The 16,168-nt window shown below is 36.5% G+C and overlaps 1 protein-coding gene across 6 annotated transcripts in view; it reads left to right on the top strand.

Annotated features, from left to right (window-relative positions):
• Nucleotides 1–16,168, top strand: part of FHIT (fragile histidine triad diadenosine triphosphatase) — a 1,504,176-nt gene that overhangs the window by 995,172 nt on the left and 492,836 nt on the right. The window lies entirely within an intron of this gene.

Here is a 16,168-nt window from a genome sequence, read left to right as displayed (position 1 = left end):
TGCTGCAATGAAATTAAAGCATATGGAGGCCAGGAAGAGGCACCAGTTCTTAAACTTTGCTCATTTCAGTTACTAATGACTTTTAAGAGGCATAAATTGGGAATAGGCACGATGGGGAATTTAAGGGAGAGTCAAGAAGACAAATAAAATGAGAGCTAGCTGAGCCACTGGTAAGATCAATGGAGGTTACAGAGCTCAAGATCATCTCACATAGGTATAAAGGTGGGCCACATTAGAATTCATGCAGGTTTCCAGGTTTCACCATAATACCTTTTCAAAAATCAGGCTTGCAAGCCGACCCAGTTTACTAATTTCAAGTGTTTCACTTAGGGGCTGAGATCCCCCTCAAGGACAGGGCATGAAATAAGCCATAGCACTAACCATGAACACCAGTTTGTTGTTTGTTTTTTTTTGTTTTTGTTTTTTGAGATGGAGTCTCGCTCTGTTGCCCAGGCTGGAGTGCAGTGGCACAATCTCGGCTCACTGCAACCTCCACCTCCCAGGTCCATGAACACCAGTTATAGATATCCATCTAAGGCTGCAGACTAATGTCTCATGGTTCCTCCTGGAGGCCACTGACTGTTTTCTTTAGTCCTCATTTCTTTTTATTTTATCTTTTCTTTAAAAAAATATAAACTAGCCACCGAAATTTTTATTGGGACATTTCACATAGGAAAGTTAGATTTGGGGCGGCTTTTGGAAAATAAGTGATTCCAGCTACTCAGGGCCTTCATTCCATTCCTGAAAGCAGTTGGTGAGAAGTTGGGTTTGTCGCCCCGGGTGGTGCTTGCTCTGTCCGGCTGGCTGCAGTTCCCACTACTCCCTATTATCCTCAGAGCAAGTCTACTTTACTCGTTTTCAGTACCTGCCAGGCCCCTAAAGACATCTGTCTTTGCAACCCCTGTGCCATCCTGTGCAGTTATTGTCGAAGGTTTGGAGTTGTTTCTGCGTGGTTTGATGTTTAAACCCTGGAAAATCCCTTTACCCTAGGTAGAGAGTATTGAAATGTATTCCCGCATCTCATTATACTCATCTGAGGTGTGATAGAGTTGTTTACACCTCAGTGAGAAAAACAAACATGCCATATCTATTAAATGCATTAACTTTATAGAAAAGTTAGGTAGGAGGAGAATTCTCATGACACTTTATTCTTAACCTAAATCATAAGGAAAAGTTATTATAATTCTGCCATCTGTTCAAGTTTTTAAAGCCATTTTGGTAAACTTAATGCTAATGCAAAATACATGCCTTAGCACTAATTAACAAAAAAAATCTGTTTCATTCTTCTCAGATAATGAAAAAATATGTCAAGAACATGATTTCTTAAAGAATATCTAATTTATGGTGCTCGGGCCTTTAAACCATCCTTGTGATGTGCTTATGAGCACAACCATAAGAATAACAAAAAGTCACATCAAATATTCCCATTAGGAAAATCCCCAGACTACAAGCTTTAGACATTTACAATTGTAATTTAGATTCCTATTTCCACTTAAAGATTACTGTCCTTTCTGTCTCATATAAGGCTTTGGTATTGATTTTTGGGTAGGGGAGTGGATTGTAATGGAGGGCTGAAGAACATGGGAAGTAACTGTAAGGCCAGTATTGATTTAATGTCCAAGTCCAAATACCACATTACTCCTGTAGAAACCTAATTAATTGAAATATATGTGATTTGAGTATGTTATATTAAATATTGTTGGCCGATGACTTTTCAAACCCTTTTAGTTATATTTTGTTAGAGGAATAGAACAAATCCAGTTATATTATGTATTTTTTTGCTAATACTCTAGGTGTTTTAAACTTGCCTGATTTTCCTGCCACCACCTTCTTGTCTCTGCTGTGCGTTTGATATAGTATCTCTAATTTATATTGGGAAAAATCATTTTATTTGGTTACAAGCCCACTCACAAATCTTCAGCACTTCATTTCTTATTAGATAAAATATGGAGTTATTAGGGTCTTTGCTACCTGTTTTTCCGGTTGTAGTTCTCACTGTTCATTGCACTGGGAACTCTTCACTCCAGGGAAATGATTTCACTCAAGATACTGATTATACCTCACACAAGGGTTAGGTCTTGCTTTGGTCTGCAGGATGCCATGACTTTTATTCTTGTTTTCTTGAATACCCAAACCATTGTGCCCTAAGAAGCAATTGGGAAAATGATGATGATATTGCTGAGTGTGTGCCTATATGTGTGTCTGTGTGTGTAAAAGAGAGAAAGCAGATATGATAAAACCTTAACAGTTGAAGTAGGGTATTGCAGGTATTCATCGTACTAACTTGCAACCAATTGTAGGTTTGAGTTATTTTGAAATACAATGTTGTAAAGAAAAGAAATAGTTGAGATTAGATTAGTAACTCACAAGTAAGTGCTGGCCCATTTGAGGCTATATAACAATCAAATATATTTAATTCTTGGTAATATTCAGAAATTTCCTGTGCATTCTGGAGAAGGATACCACGTTTTGTCCTGGTGTTTTATTTCATTAGTTTTTCCAGTGCTGCTCCTTGAAGGAGGACATATTGGCTGATAAGAAGGTGGATTAGTTTTCAGAATGAAATTGTGACTTCCTTCCTTCCTTGTTTCCATAGTTAACAGTCATATATTAAGTATTGGACAGTGGGCTTTGTCTAGAGATCCAGAGAAGAACCTCAGGTAATCTCTGTCCTGGGAAGTCTACAGTATAGGAGAATACAAATGAGAAAATCATTGACTGCAAAACAGAGAGAAAGGTGTGATGGTTTTCTCTTATGTTTTTTCCATGCCATTTGCAATTTTGACTATCTATAGACATTTGATATTATATCCTTACTGGTACATTTTTGTAATTGTTGCCAACTGATCATCACACTGAATACAATGAGTGATATCATTTGTTTCATTTCACATCATCCCAAATTGCTGTTCAGCAGAGTTGTTCTTAATAACTAGAAACATGCCAGAATACTTTCCATCCATATATTTTCTCCTTTTTACAATGTCGATTCAGAATATCATGACAGATCTTCCTTTTCTGACATTAATTGGTGATATACTAATGATAGCCTTCATTGTAAGTAAAAATGTATTAATTATGAGCCTTTTTTGGCAGTAGGCATTTTGATTTGCTCACTGGAGTGTAGAATGGAAATAAAAACTTAAAAATATAAGTAGCAATGAATACTTCAGTGTTCTGTGCTCTTTCAATGGTGTACTACAGTAGAAACTCGATGAGGCCACAGTGTTTTTTATTTTATTATTTGTTTTTATTTTTTATTATTTATTCATTTATTTATTTTGAGATGGAGTCTCGCTCTGTCACCCAGGCTGGAGTGCAGTGGCGCTATCTCGGCTCACTGCAAGCTCTGCCTCCTGGGTTCACGGCATTCTCCTGCCTCAGCCTCCCGAGTAGCTGGAACTACAGGCACCCGCCACCACGCCCGGCTAATTTTTTTTTGTATTTTTTTTTAAGTTGAGAAGGGGTTTCGCCTTGTTAGCCAGGATGGTCTCGATCTTCTGACCTAGTGATCCACCGGCCTCGGCCTCCCAAAGTGCTGGGATTACAGGCATGAGCCACCGCGCCCAGCCCAGTCTTTTTTTATTATCTGTTTATTAAATAATCATTATTTGCTCTTTCCCATGTACAGTACTAGCTGCTGGAATAAAGGTGTCTACTACCATAATACCCTTTGAGCACACGTTTATTTCCTTCTATTTATTTATTTTTTTCTTTTCGAGGCAGAGTTTCACTGTCGCCCAGGCTAGAGTGCAGTAGCATGATCATGCCGCAGTGCAGCCTTGACCCCCCTATGCTCAAGTGATCCTCCCACCTAGCCTTTCTAGTAGCTGGGACTACAGGCAGTTGCCATTATGATCTGCTAATTTTTTAAATTTTTTAAATTTTTAAAATTTTTTTATAGAGACGGGGTTTCGCTATGTTGCCCAGGCTGGTCTTAAACTCCTGGGCTCAAGCAATTTTCCCGCTTTGGTTTCCCAAAGTTCTGGGATTACAGGTTCCTTTTGTTTGTTAATGTCCAATATAAAGCACTGTTTTTCTTTGTCTACTTGTGTAGACTTTATTTCCTCTCGTCTGATTCATCTTTGTGTTGCTTGCATCAAGTGTCTAACACAGAACCTTTAACAACAGAGCTGTTGCAAAAATATTTTTGAATTAATACATTAATATGCTTGCAATCATATTTTGTCATACAGCCAATGATTAAGTTAGGCATATATGGAAATACTTGGCACACATTCGGTACTCATGACATAAAATTTTTCCCCATTTATTCTAGTTGGTTCTCTTTGGAATGCGTTTTCCAGAGTTAGCTGGAATTTTGGCCATTCTGGAAGTGCATTGGAAGGTCTTCATAAACTGTGAAACACTATTACATGCCTCGTGTTATTATGGAATAGATAACAAAGAGGCTACATCTGTCTGACTGCTGTGTTTGTCATGTCTTGCACATAGTTAGTTCACAGCAGGGCTTTGACTTACAAGCAAGATTTCCATAGGTGGAAATGGGAGGGAAAAGAAAGGTATGCTGTGTAGAAGAAATGGCATGAGCAGTGGCCCACACGCTGGACAAGGATAAGATCAGTTGAAAGATTAACTAGAAGTGCCTGTACTGGGTCAAGGATGGTTTTAGATACACACACACAACATGCATGGAGTGTATCTTATTGTGAGTCAGAAACTGGCATAACTATTCCCAAAGATACTTTTCAACACTGGAAGTACAATTTTTAAATATAAACTTTGGAATTGGAAAGATGAGGTTTTCAAATTTTAGTTTTTTCACTTGAGCTGGATGATCACAGACCAGACAACTAACTGTAATTATTTTTCCCTCTTCTTTTGTGCAATTGAAGATGTTAGTACTTTTTTCTCAGGGTGGTTGGGTGCTTGCATAGAAAGCCATCACTGAACAGTGGTTGATAGTAATAGGTGTCATAATGTTCCTCACTCCCTATGTACTACTCCCTCCCCAGAGAGAGCCAAGGCATTCCATAAAATCAACATGATCTGTTACAGCTTCTTTTGGGACTATATGATACTCAAGTGCTATTGACCTAATACTTAAAAGCCTCTGGCTGTTTTTTATGGATATGGTATACTTTGTTGCCCAAGGTAAATGCAATTGGAATAGCTTAATCCAGTGAAAGCTCTTTCCCCTCGATTGCATAAAGCTCAAAAGGTATGTCTTCATAAAATCTGTATGGGGGAAGCATATGTGAAAACCCACAAGGAAGTAATAGAGTTTGTTTGCACATCTCCCAGGGCTACTTACAAACCACGTGGGTAAAGGATGCCCAGCAATCATAATGTCACCTCTTTCGTTTTTGATCACCCACTCAGACAATGAGTTTTTGGGATTATCTGTGTTTGGTGAGGGCAGTGGGAGTTTAAAAAATCTTGTTGAAGCAGCTTATTTAGAGATTGCTGTACACATCACAATCCATCACTTAGCAGGCAGCAAAACCAAGTCTCATTGTCGATTGAAAATCAGGTGGTCTTTTTTTTAATTCTTCTTCTAAAGGAAGGTACTTTGGAGTAGTGGGTAATTGCAAAGCCTGAAGAAGAAAATTGTCATAAAAATGAAAAGAAGAAGATTACTTAATTACAACAGGTTCCTCCAGAAATCTTCAAGATGAATGGGAAAATTTAGCAGAGCTCTTAAATGCCACTGTAATTCAGCCCCATGCCCTGGAAATTCTAAATTGTAATTGACCCTAATTATATCAATACCCGCTGGTGAGAAAAGACCTGTTTCTTAGGAAGCTTTACTGCTGCTGAACTTTGCTAACAAGTCACCCATGACTTCAACAGATGTTTTGTACTTTTCTGGCCGAGGGGGTCCTTAGGAACCAACTTTCCTCTCCATTTGGCAGCAAATGATGCAATAATGCTCTTGAATTGTCAGTATATGAGGTAAAAAATGTGCTCCTTTAGTCATTGCTCAGACTATTTTTATCTTGCCTGTTAGCATGTTAGGATAATTTCACTAGTAAGCAACTAAAAATGTGACCCATTCTAGCTTAAGCAGACAATAGAATTTATTGGCTAGGATAATTGGAAACTATCTTGCTCAGCTGTAGGTGCGACTTTATCTAGTGCATGTATGGCCTCTCTTCCTCTACCTTTCCTTCTCTTTTTTTTCTCTTTCCCCTTTTTTCTCTCTACGTTTTTCTCTGATATGGTTTGGTTATGTCCCTACCCAGATCTCACCTTGAATAGCAATAATCTCCATGTGTCAAGAGCAGGGACAGGTGGAGATAATTAAATCGTGGGGGCAGTTTCCCCATACTGTTCTTGTGGTAGTGAATAAGTCTCACAAGATCTGATGGTTTTATAAACAGGAGTTTCTCTGTACAGGCTCTCCTTCCTGCTGCCATGTAAGGTGTGACTTTGCTCTTGATTCACCTGGCATGCGTGTGAGGCCTCCTCAGCCATGTGGAACTGTGAGTCCACTAAATCTCTTTCCTTTATAAATTGCCCAGTCTTAGGTATGTCTTTATTAGCAGTGTGAGAACAGATTAATACACTCTCCCTCTTTTTCCTTCCCCCTTCTCCCGTGTGTGTGTGTGTGTGTGTGTGTGTGTGTGTCTTGGCTGTATTTCCTTGATATTGTGCCCAGTCTCCAGGAGACTCTCAGATCATGGTTCTAATGTCACTCCTGGCACTGGGCCTTTCTAATTTGTCCATTCATGTCTTGTAGGAAAATGGAAAGGCTCTTCTGATAACTGTTGAAAAAAAAATCCTTCATCCTTATTGGTCCAACTTTCATCTCTCACTCATCCCCTGAGCCAATCAAATGAACAGGGTGATGGGATTTTGCCAGTTGTCCTCACCAGAGCTGTGGCTTATCCTTATAGCCCAAGTGATGGAGTCAGCCTCCCTCAGAGCACATGGGTTTTGTGGAGGAGGAGAAGACGCTGTTTCCGAGAAAAGTGTAAATAGATACTCGGTGTGTCAAATGAGAACAGAATTTTGTCTTCCAGATTTTTTAGTAATAGTTCATTCCCCCAACTTTTGTTTATAAAAATTGTGAAACATACGGAAAGTTTCAAGAATAGAAAAACGAACACCTTGTGAGGAAGGCAAAAATTCTACCCCTGCCTTGTTAGAGTTTTTTGGCTGGGCCTGAGAATTAAACTGATGTAAAACAGTTTAACAGAAGAAAAGCATGCAAATATACTTAATAGAAGTTTTATGGAGCCCTCATTAGGAAATGAAGACATAAAGAAATGGCAAAACCTAGATGCTTTTATATTCGATTGACTGAAAAGATGCAATTGTGGAAAAGTAAGTGAACTCTGTAGGCAGGCTAAAGGAAGATAAGAATTATTTTCACATGGTATCTTTGTGCAGCATTCTCCAGGTCTCACCTTTTCATCCTTGATGATAAAAATGTGACTTTCCTTCTGGTATAAAGAGGACATCTTCTGTATTGGGGTTTTATCCCTGCATTCGGGAAGAAAAAGGGGTGAGTCACAGCGCCCTTCTAGCACCTGCTGTTTTTTAAGTGCCTTTAGCTCAAAATAATCCTTATGCTAAAGTGGCATATGTAGGGGTGGCATATTCTGCCACCCTTCAACCTGAATACTAACCATTTAGGTTGAACAATTGTTAATGTTTTTTGGCACCCTATCTTAAGTGGTAGGCTATATCATTTTTCTTACTCCCTCCTGACAAATTTCTCAGAGTTTCTTCAAATGAAGATTTTAAAAGTTCAGTACTTTAGAATTCAAATGGAAACGAAATGTCATTTCCATGGTGCTGTGTCCTTTACCTGCCTTCTCTCCTTTGTTCTCTTTCTGAATAAAGCCAAGAATCATTCCATTTTCCAACACGCTGTCTCATACACCCTGAAGGGGAAATATTATACAATTAAATGCAGGCTAGCATTCCTCTAGCAAGGTAAATGCTTCTTATTTCACAGATCCCCAGTTGATCTCTTAAATGTAATTCCCCAATGATATGAAAGTTCTGAATTGTTTATCACCTCAGATCAGGAATATTATTTCTGAAAACAAATTTGTTATCATCAGCAAATCAGCTTTTGAAGGTTTTTGTACCAAAGAATAAACCTAGGGAGTGGATTTTGAACTCTTAGGGGGAAGAACTAAAGTTACTTTGAGGACGTTTTACAGCTTTTTTATAACGAGGCAGCTTCAAATGCAGATGAAGAGCAATGCACTGAAGAATGACAATTTTTAGATATGGTTATAAGTCATTCCTCTAACCTGGTAAAATTCTACTCTGAAGTAACGAATTCCAAACCTTGCATATTCATTTTTGAAGGTGTCATGTTTTCTCCTCGAAGGCTCCATGTGCTTATCGATTTAAAAAATTACTTGTAGTTCCCTTTTACATTAAGTTGTAGTTAGTCATAACAAAAAGAGTTAACATTTCTTAAGTCTTTACTGTGTGCTAAGCCCTTCACTGAGCTCCTAACTGCATTCTTTCATTTAATTGTCACAACTCAGTGAAGTAGATATGTGAATTTCTCTCATTTTAGAGATGAGGAAACTGAGGCATAAGATGTTATGAAAATTGCCTAAAATCAAGCAAGTGGCAAGCTGTGGCACTTGGACATGAACTTACGTTACTATGAAATGCCATTGGTTCAATTCATAAAAATTTGCCTAAATGTGAGACTCATAAGTTGAGAGCCAGAGGCTGGGCGTATATGATTATTATGAACTTTAAGATAAGATTACTGCTGTTTTTGAGCAAGAATGCCAAATGTTTAATTTTGTAAACCCAAAACATTTAATGACAGAAAAGCTTTAAAAAATATGTATCTATGTATAAGTGGTTTTTAAGTTTCTTTTCTTCTTCTTCTTCATCTTCATCTTCATCTTCATCATCTTCTTCCTTCTTCTTTCTTTCTTCTTCTGTCTTCTATCTTCTTTCTTCTTTCTTCTTCTTTCTGATGCAAGGTCTTGTGATATTTGCCCAGGCTGGCCTTAAACTTCAGGGCACAAGTGATCCTCCTGCCTCAGATTCCCAAGTAGCTAGGATTACAGGTGCACACCACCATACCCAGCTCTGAGCACTTCTTAATAGCCTTACTTGGTAGAACAGTTTTAGGTTTATAGCAAAATTTAGCAGAAGGTACAGAGTCATCCCGAATACTCCCTCCCCTTCCACATATACTTATCAATATTCCCTATCAGAGTGTCACATTTGTTACAGTTGATGAGCTGACACATCATTGACACCCAAAGTCCATAGTTTCTATTAGGGTTCACTCTTAGTGATGTATGTTCGATGAGTTTGGACAAATAGTTACTTGCATGTAATCTACCATTAGAGTATCATACAGAATAGTTTCAATGCACTGAAAATCCTCTGTGTTCCACTTTTATAAGCCCTATATTGTCATTCTAACTTAAAATACGTAATCAGCTGTTTAGGAGAATCATTTTGAAAACCCAGTAAGAGAAACAGGAACATTTGGCAGGTCAAGAATTTGCTTCAACTGCAGCAGAGAGGATTGTAGACTGTGTGGAGAATGTCAATATGAAGAAGGTCAATAATTTGTAATTGGTAAATTCCAACCAAAGCTGAAGAGCAAACCATTTCACTTTAAATAGGAGTAAATATAATTCAGAAAAGCTGAATACAGAGCTTGAGCTCCACTCAAGCTCCACTCCAACTGGAGACAGTTACGCTCTCACCCTTAAAATTTGTTCTGCAGGTCGGATCTGTGTTTTTTGGCACCAGGCAGAGATGTGGCTAATACTCACCTTGTGCCTCTCAGCCACCTGTTCTTCCTAATTAAAGACTCCCATTTTCTGCTTTGCTGGCCTCATAATTTGCAAATAAAATCCACGGGACATTTGATACGAATGTTAAGAAACCTGTGAACTGTTTGTTTCTAGTTTGTAAAGTAAAAGAGAGACCCTTCCCCTTCCTTCCCCTTTTCTCTTCTGCCATTTTAATAGGACATTTTTCCCCTCCTGGAAATAAAAGAACACTGTTGAAATGATTTGGTTTTCCTCCTTCAAAGATAACTCTCTATATATATTTGCTGGAGGTAGACTTTTTATTTTAGTATAACTGTTCTAAAAAGAATTCATTTATTTGCCATTTATAATTTTGTTTTTCTCTACATTTCCATTTCTACCTCATTTGCCTGTATTACTGCAATGCCTCTTTACTGGTCTGCCTCATTCCATACTTCTGATCTATTTCCTAAAGCACAGCCAGGGTAAACAATATAAAAATAAGCATTTTTTAAGCAGAAAATTATGAAGGGAATTAAACAGTTTACTTTAACATAAGCATAGGCAAATTTAAGAAAATTTTTTTTATATCTTTTGATTTTACAATTATTCATTGTATAAAAATGAATTTATTCTGCATTTATTGTCCAATGGCTTGTTTTGGTTTTGTCACATAAAATGTACATACAGATAGTTTTTTTCCAGTTCTTGTTAATGCCCAGATAATTGTTCACTGTATGCTTACCATAGTTTCTGGATCAGTTGCCAATATTGATTTATATTTTTAAACATTTTCCTGATATTAAAAACATTTCTGCAATAAATATTTTTGTACATAAAGTTTTGCCCACTTGTGTAATTCCACTAGAATTGGAAGTTCTGGATCAAGGGCTGGGAATATCATATATATTGCTTGATTATCTTTACAAATGACTATATCATCCTCAACATCACTAGTTTCTTTTTTCAATTAACAAAAAGGTTTTTCCCCTAATATCGTAGGTGAAAATAATTTTGTAATGAAATTGTAATGTTCAGTTAGTCACTTGTTGGTAAGGTTGATTAACTTTATGAGCTTATTGGCCATTTTGTATTTCTCCATGATAGAAGGTAATTATGAGTGAGTACTTTGAATATTGAACCCTGAAGTTTAGAACTTTGAAGGGATCATCTGATTCTAAGAACATTTCTAGCCTCCTTATAAGTTGAGCTTATGCTATGGGCCCTCTGATAAAAGCTGTGTGCATTGATGGTTGACAATATGTATGTTAAAGGATTTTTTGCTACATCGAAATGCAAAATTATTAGCTACAAGGAAATTAAAAGTGGGCCAACATACAGATAATTTTAGATATAAAGTATGTTTCAGTACTGATTTATTGTGGTTATTTTCATTATATTCATTAAATGAAGCTCATGACTTCTTGAATTCATATCCATATTCTCTATCCTAGGGGATCTGACTGCTGATATAGGCTGTATTTCTGTCAACCATAGTGGATTAGTTGCAGTTTTTACCTTTTAATTAAACAGCTGCTGCCGCTAAACACAATTTTGAATTACTTAATAGTCCATATTACTTTAGTCAATGCACACTACCTGAATGTTTTAATTATATGAAGCTATACATTTTTTATGATACAGTTTTTCTAAAAATGCATTGACAGACAGTAATAATTTGTTCTTTTGAGATGTCAGGAATATCTTAGCATATTTTTAAATAATCATAACTAAAATTAAAAGCCACGCTGATCAAATGTAAGATCTTTTGCTTTAAAATATAAATGTGAAACATCTAGAATTTTAAATAAAAGTCCCATTCAAGATGTTTGTAGTCTCTGTCTCATAAACAAGCAACACGTGTGGTAAATACTGTTGAGCACAATTCAGAACACTCAAGATCCTAAAAATCAAACTTCTCATTGAGGCCCCAATTCAGAAATTCATTGCCTTACAATTTTGTGGCTTCTGTGGCAACAAAGTTTGTTTAGGCGGTGTCATTTGGAAGCAGAAATCAGTCAGTAAAAAAGCTATTTACTGTTAATCAACATGAAATCTTGTAAAGGCTCATGATTATCTTGTTACATTATTCTGAGTTATATTCAGAGGTATTCCTTAAATTTTTGGTTTTAATAAGTTTAAGTGACTAATTTACTACAGCTCTGAGAAATTATAGATCCTGGGAAATTATTTTTAGAAAGTGACAATTGTGTGACCTTTTATCCTTCTCTCTTTATTTAATGGAAATTCCATCCCTCCCCCCATACATTTATGTGTATATAGGTATGTGTGTATCCTATAGACAATTCCCTTTCCTTGACATTTATAGGGAAAATATGAAGTATAATAACTGAAGTATTGAACATTAGAATGAACAGTTGAAAATTTGTCAGATTATATTTTTAGGTTTATCACTACACCTAAACTGCCTGAGAATTGCTGTGATCAGAAAAGCCACTTTTAATATATATACTGGCTTGATGGGAACTGGTATCTTTAACCTCAGCCTTTGATTGAATTTCTCTAAGTGGTAGAAGTAAAGGAGAATGGTGTAAGACCTGTCTGAGTTTTTCAGCTATACAAACCATTTAACCGAGTGTACATGATGGTAACGTCAGGATTCCTGAAATAAATTATTTCTGTTCTCCCTGCTGACTCTTACAGAACATAATTTAGAGAGCACATCTGGTACTTTCTGTCTGTTCTGTGTTGACCTTTCATTGATTCTTTATCTCCTTTCCTGGCTTTAAAAAACAAAAAAGTTAAAGTTTATTTTAGAACTGGGTGGTGGGATAATATTATAAAACAATGTAAAGCATCACCTGCCACTGTCGTACAGATTATATCTTCAACGTTTAAGAAGGTGGTTATCATTCCTCACGGTTGTAGGTGTTACCCTGTTCAAGATAATAGTTTCTGCTGTTGAACTGGTGTCTATAGATTAAATAAGAGCCGTTGCCTCTATCTTCTAAAGGACTTCAGGGGCTTAAACCGTGGAGCTTAAAGCATGATGGAATTTGGTCAAAAGATGTAGCCATTTGTTGAGCTTAAAGTCAAGATTTTAAGCTCAGTCCCTAGAGTGTATGCAGGCACAGGTCAAGCTCTCCCCATCGCCTCTCCATGGCCAGTAGTTCTTGACAATACTAATTTGTCAGTAGTGTTACATTCTCTGAAGAAACCAATTGAGTGTGGTTTGTTGATGTTATTTGTTTCTTTGTTTGCCCCACTAGAATGTTAGCTTTATGAGTGTGGGGATCTTGTCCCTTTTGTTCAGTTGTTGAATTAATGACAACATAGCATTCATTGAGTGTTAACTCTTTTCCCATCTGTGAATACCACTTAACCAGATAGTTATCCAAGTGAGCAAAATGAAGCTGCTTAGAGGTAACCCTGTATTTCTGTTTAATCATAGACCACCCTCCCAAAGGCGAACAATCCATTTGCTTCATATTCAGTGTTAAATATGAGTGGCCCAAATCTAATTTTTTTTTTTTTTTTAGTTTTGGACTGAATATTGACATCACACTGATAAAATGAGAACGCTGATTCAAGGCCATTGTGGTTCACTTGAAAATGTGCCTATCAATTCAAGTAAAGACCTAGTGGCTTGGAGATTAGACTAACATCTACTTCTCCTGGTGTGTTAATATGCTGACAAAAAGCAAGGAGATGGAGAAGCTTGGGGAGATGTTCACATATGTGTATGTGTTTATATAAATATATATATATGAACATATGTGTTTGTATGAGGAAGAAGGACTGAAAGCAGTGCTGTCTAATAGAGTTTTCAGCCATTATGACCATCTTCTAACCAATAGAAAGAATGAAAGAGAGAAGAAGGGGCAAAAGCAGTCAACTTGAAATTAGAAGATGTGGTCTTTATTTCGGGGATCCCTGTGCTCAGCTAAAAATAAATAATATAGTTACTGATGGGAAGAGGTGAAGAGGTATTGGAGTTATCTAAGCAGTCAACTTTGCCTCAAGTACCTGCTCTCTGCAAGGCATTGTTCTAAGTGTTGAAGCTACAGATAGTAGTGAAGAAGGCAATATAATTTATCTCATGAAGATTATGTGGATTGGGGAGAAGCAAACATACATACACACGAATATAGAACATGCCTGGAAATAATATGTACTTTGCAGAAAAATAAGGACCCAAATGGGTTTTGTGAACATGTTAATGAAAAAAGGATGTAAGTATGTACTGAGAAACGGTTTGGGGTGAAATATATAGAGTTTGAAGCCAACATGAAATATTATAGGATTTTAAACAAATTTCCTCTGAAAATAAGCAAAATATCAATTTTATTTGAAATATACAGCTACAGATAAAAATCTATTTAATACCATGTGATGCTGTAAGATTGTTTTCATTAACATCCTCTTGTATACATTCTTATTCATACTGGAGAAGCTGGGAAGAAATAAAACGTGAAAGATAATACATATTTTTAGTTGTTACCAAATATTAATAATGGCCTAAATCAATGAAGTTTTAGTGTAATTACATACACACCCTGTTTTTATAATGATTGCATTGTGATTTTCATTTTCCTAACCAATAATTGTGATTAGTCATTTGATTGTTACCACAATTTTTCTCTACCTAGGAGCTAAAGAACATATTAAAATCCTTGGAAACTTAGATAAATTACTGTAATGAATTACAAAATTACTAGAGGTGATGATGATCAAGAGAATAATAAAGAGTAATTAGAGTAAGCTCCACTTCTTCCTCTTTTATAGCAGTCCCTTTGTCTTAGAGTAAAATTAAAAAACAGAAGCAAGATAAACTAACTCCTACTAGTCATGAATATAACTCATCTCTTCTCTCTTCATATGTAGGAATAGGCGGTACCTATCTGGGAATGGGTCCGCAGAAACAGTATATTTAACTCTCTCCAGGCAATTCCCTGACATTTCAGAACTGGTTTCTCTACCGTTTATCTCTCTTTGCCTCTATCCCCACCTGCAATCTGTTGCTTTTCTCTTTCTTTCAACCCTTACAAAAAAAGCAAAAAAACTACAGATTAATAGGAAGATAGTACCTTTACATAGAAATATTTTCTTGGCCCATTATAATAAATGCATGTAAATAAATATTTTTTTCATACTCATGAGCGTGCTTATTAATGGAAAATTAGGGGACAGTACTTAAAATTCCTAGAAAATTCAAGATTTTTAATATAAATTTGACTTAAAACATGGGGGAGAAGGAATGCTCTTTAGAATGGGTCTGTACATCCAATCTTATTTGATAAATTTTCTGGTGTTTCATTTGTGATCCTTGTTATGTTTCTTTGGCATCTAATAAAGAATGATAATTCCCTTGGTACTGTCTTAGGGAATTATGACAGAATTTAGGAAGAAGTTTCAGGGCAGTCTTTTAAGAAATGGAATCCACAGAGGAATAAATATGTCTTTAAACTTCTTCAGTGAAGTGATTCCCCATTCCACCCCCGTTTCCTAAAAACTGTTGCAAGTGCATCCCTAGCTTTAGTATTTAAAAGATACTCACTATGATAAGTTTGCATAAAGAAATATTTACTTTTAAATTCTTACAAATCTGTTTTTTTTAACAGGTCCCATTAAGTTCTGAAATAGTTTCCTTAATTCCTCCTGTGTGAGAAACCTGTGGCATGTTTTAATCACTTTAAACAATTTTTTTCCCTCCAGAAGAAATGATTTATTCCCTATTTCCTGGTTTATTTCAAAGCAGGTACAGCTCTTGGATCTGAGGGTTGCTAATAGGTTTTGAAGCTAACTGCAAAGCCATCAGCATTCTACTTCCTGCTATCTGCCAGCTGTTGAGGACTTTGTCTCCACAAACAAAGGAGTGCAGGTTGAACCCTCCTTTCCATCTCAATTATTGCAGAACAGGCTTCCCTCCCAAGTCCTCTGCATTTATCATCCCTCTTCCTTCTCTTTCTTTGTTCTATAGCATTTGAATTGTATAAAAACGAAATTATATTTGGACCAAGGCAAAGTGCTTTTTAATGAGACAGTTTATTTGTGCTTCCGTGATGTTTTTTCTCGTTATGTGTGAGCTCAAACAACAGAACACATTCCTATTGAAATTAAGGGTCATAATCCTGATATTGAAGTCTTCATTAGCTGCTTTGCATCCTCGGTAGCATATGTTGTAGTTTGATCTGCTCTGATGATGGAAATTTAAGGGTTTTGTTATCAGTTTATTTATTTTAAATTGCAAGCTGTAGCTTAATAGCTACATAACTGGCTCTTAATAGGTATCAGGAACAGAAATATAAATTTGAAGCAAAGCCTTTTTTTCCCCATTCTCTCCTACTAATGCTCTGATTTTCTATTAGAAGAATCAGAAAGCAGTCCAATGGCTTTTGTTGACTGGAACCCATTTTATAGTTTCCAGTAACTGTAGCTGTCTCTGTCCTGCTGTGGTAGGGAGATGCATATTGATATTGAAAACCTAA

This window comes from Homo sapiens, chromosome 3 (genome assembly GCF_000001405.40).
Source record: "Homo sapiens chromosome 3, GRCh38.p14 Primary Assembly".
Classification (NCBI taxonomy): domain Eukaryota; kingdom Metazoa; phylum Chordata; class Mammalia; order Primates; family Hominidae; genus Homo; species Homo sapiens.
This window is presented reverse-complemented; position numbering and strand designations above follow the sequence as displayed.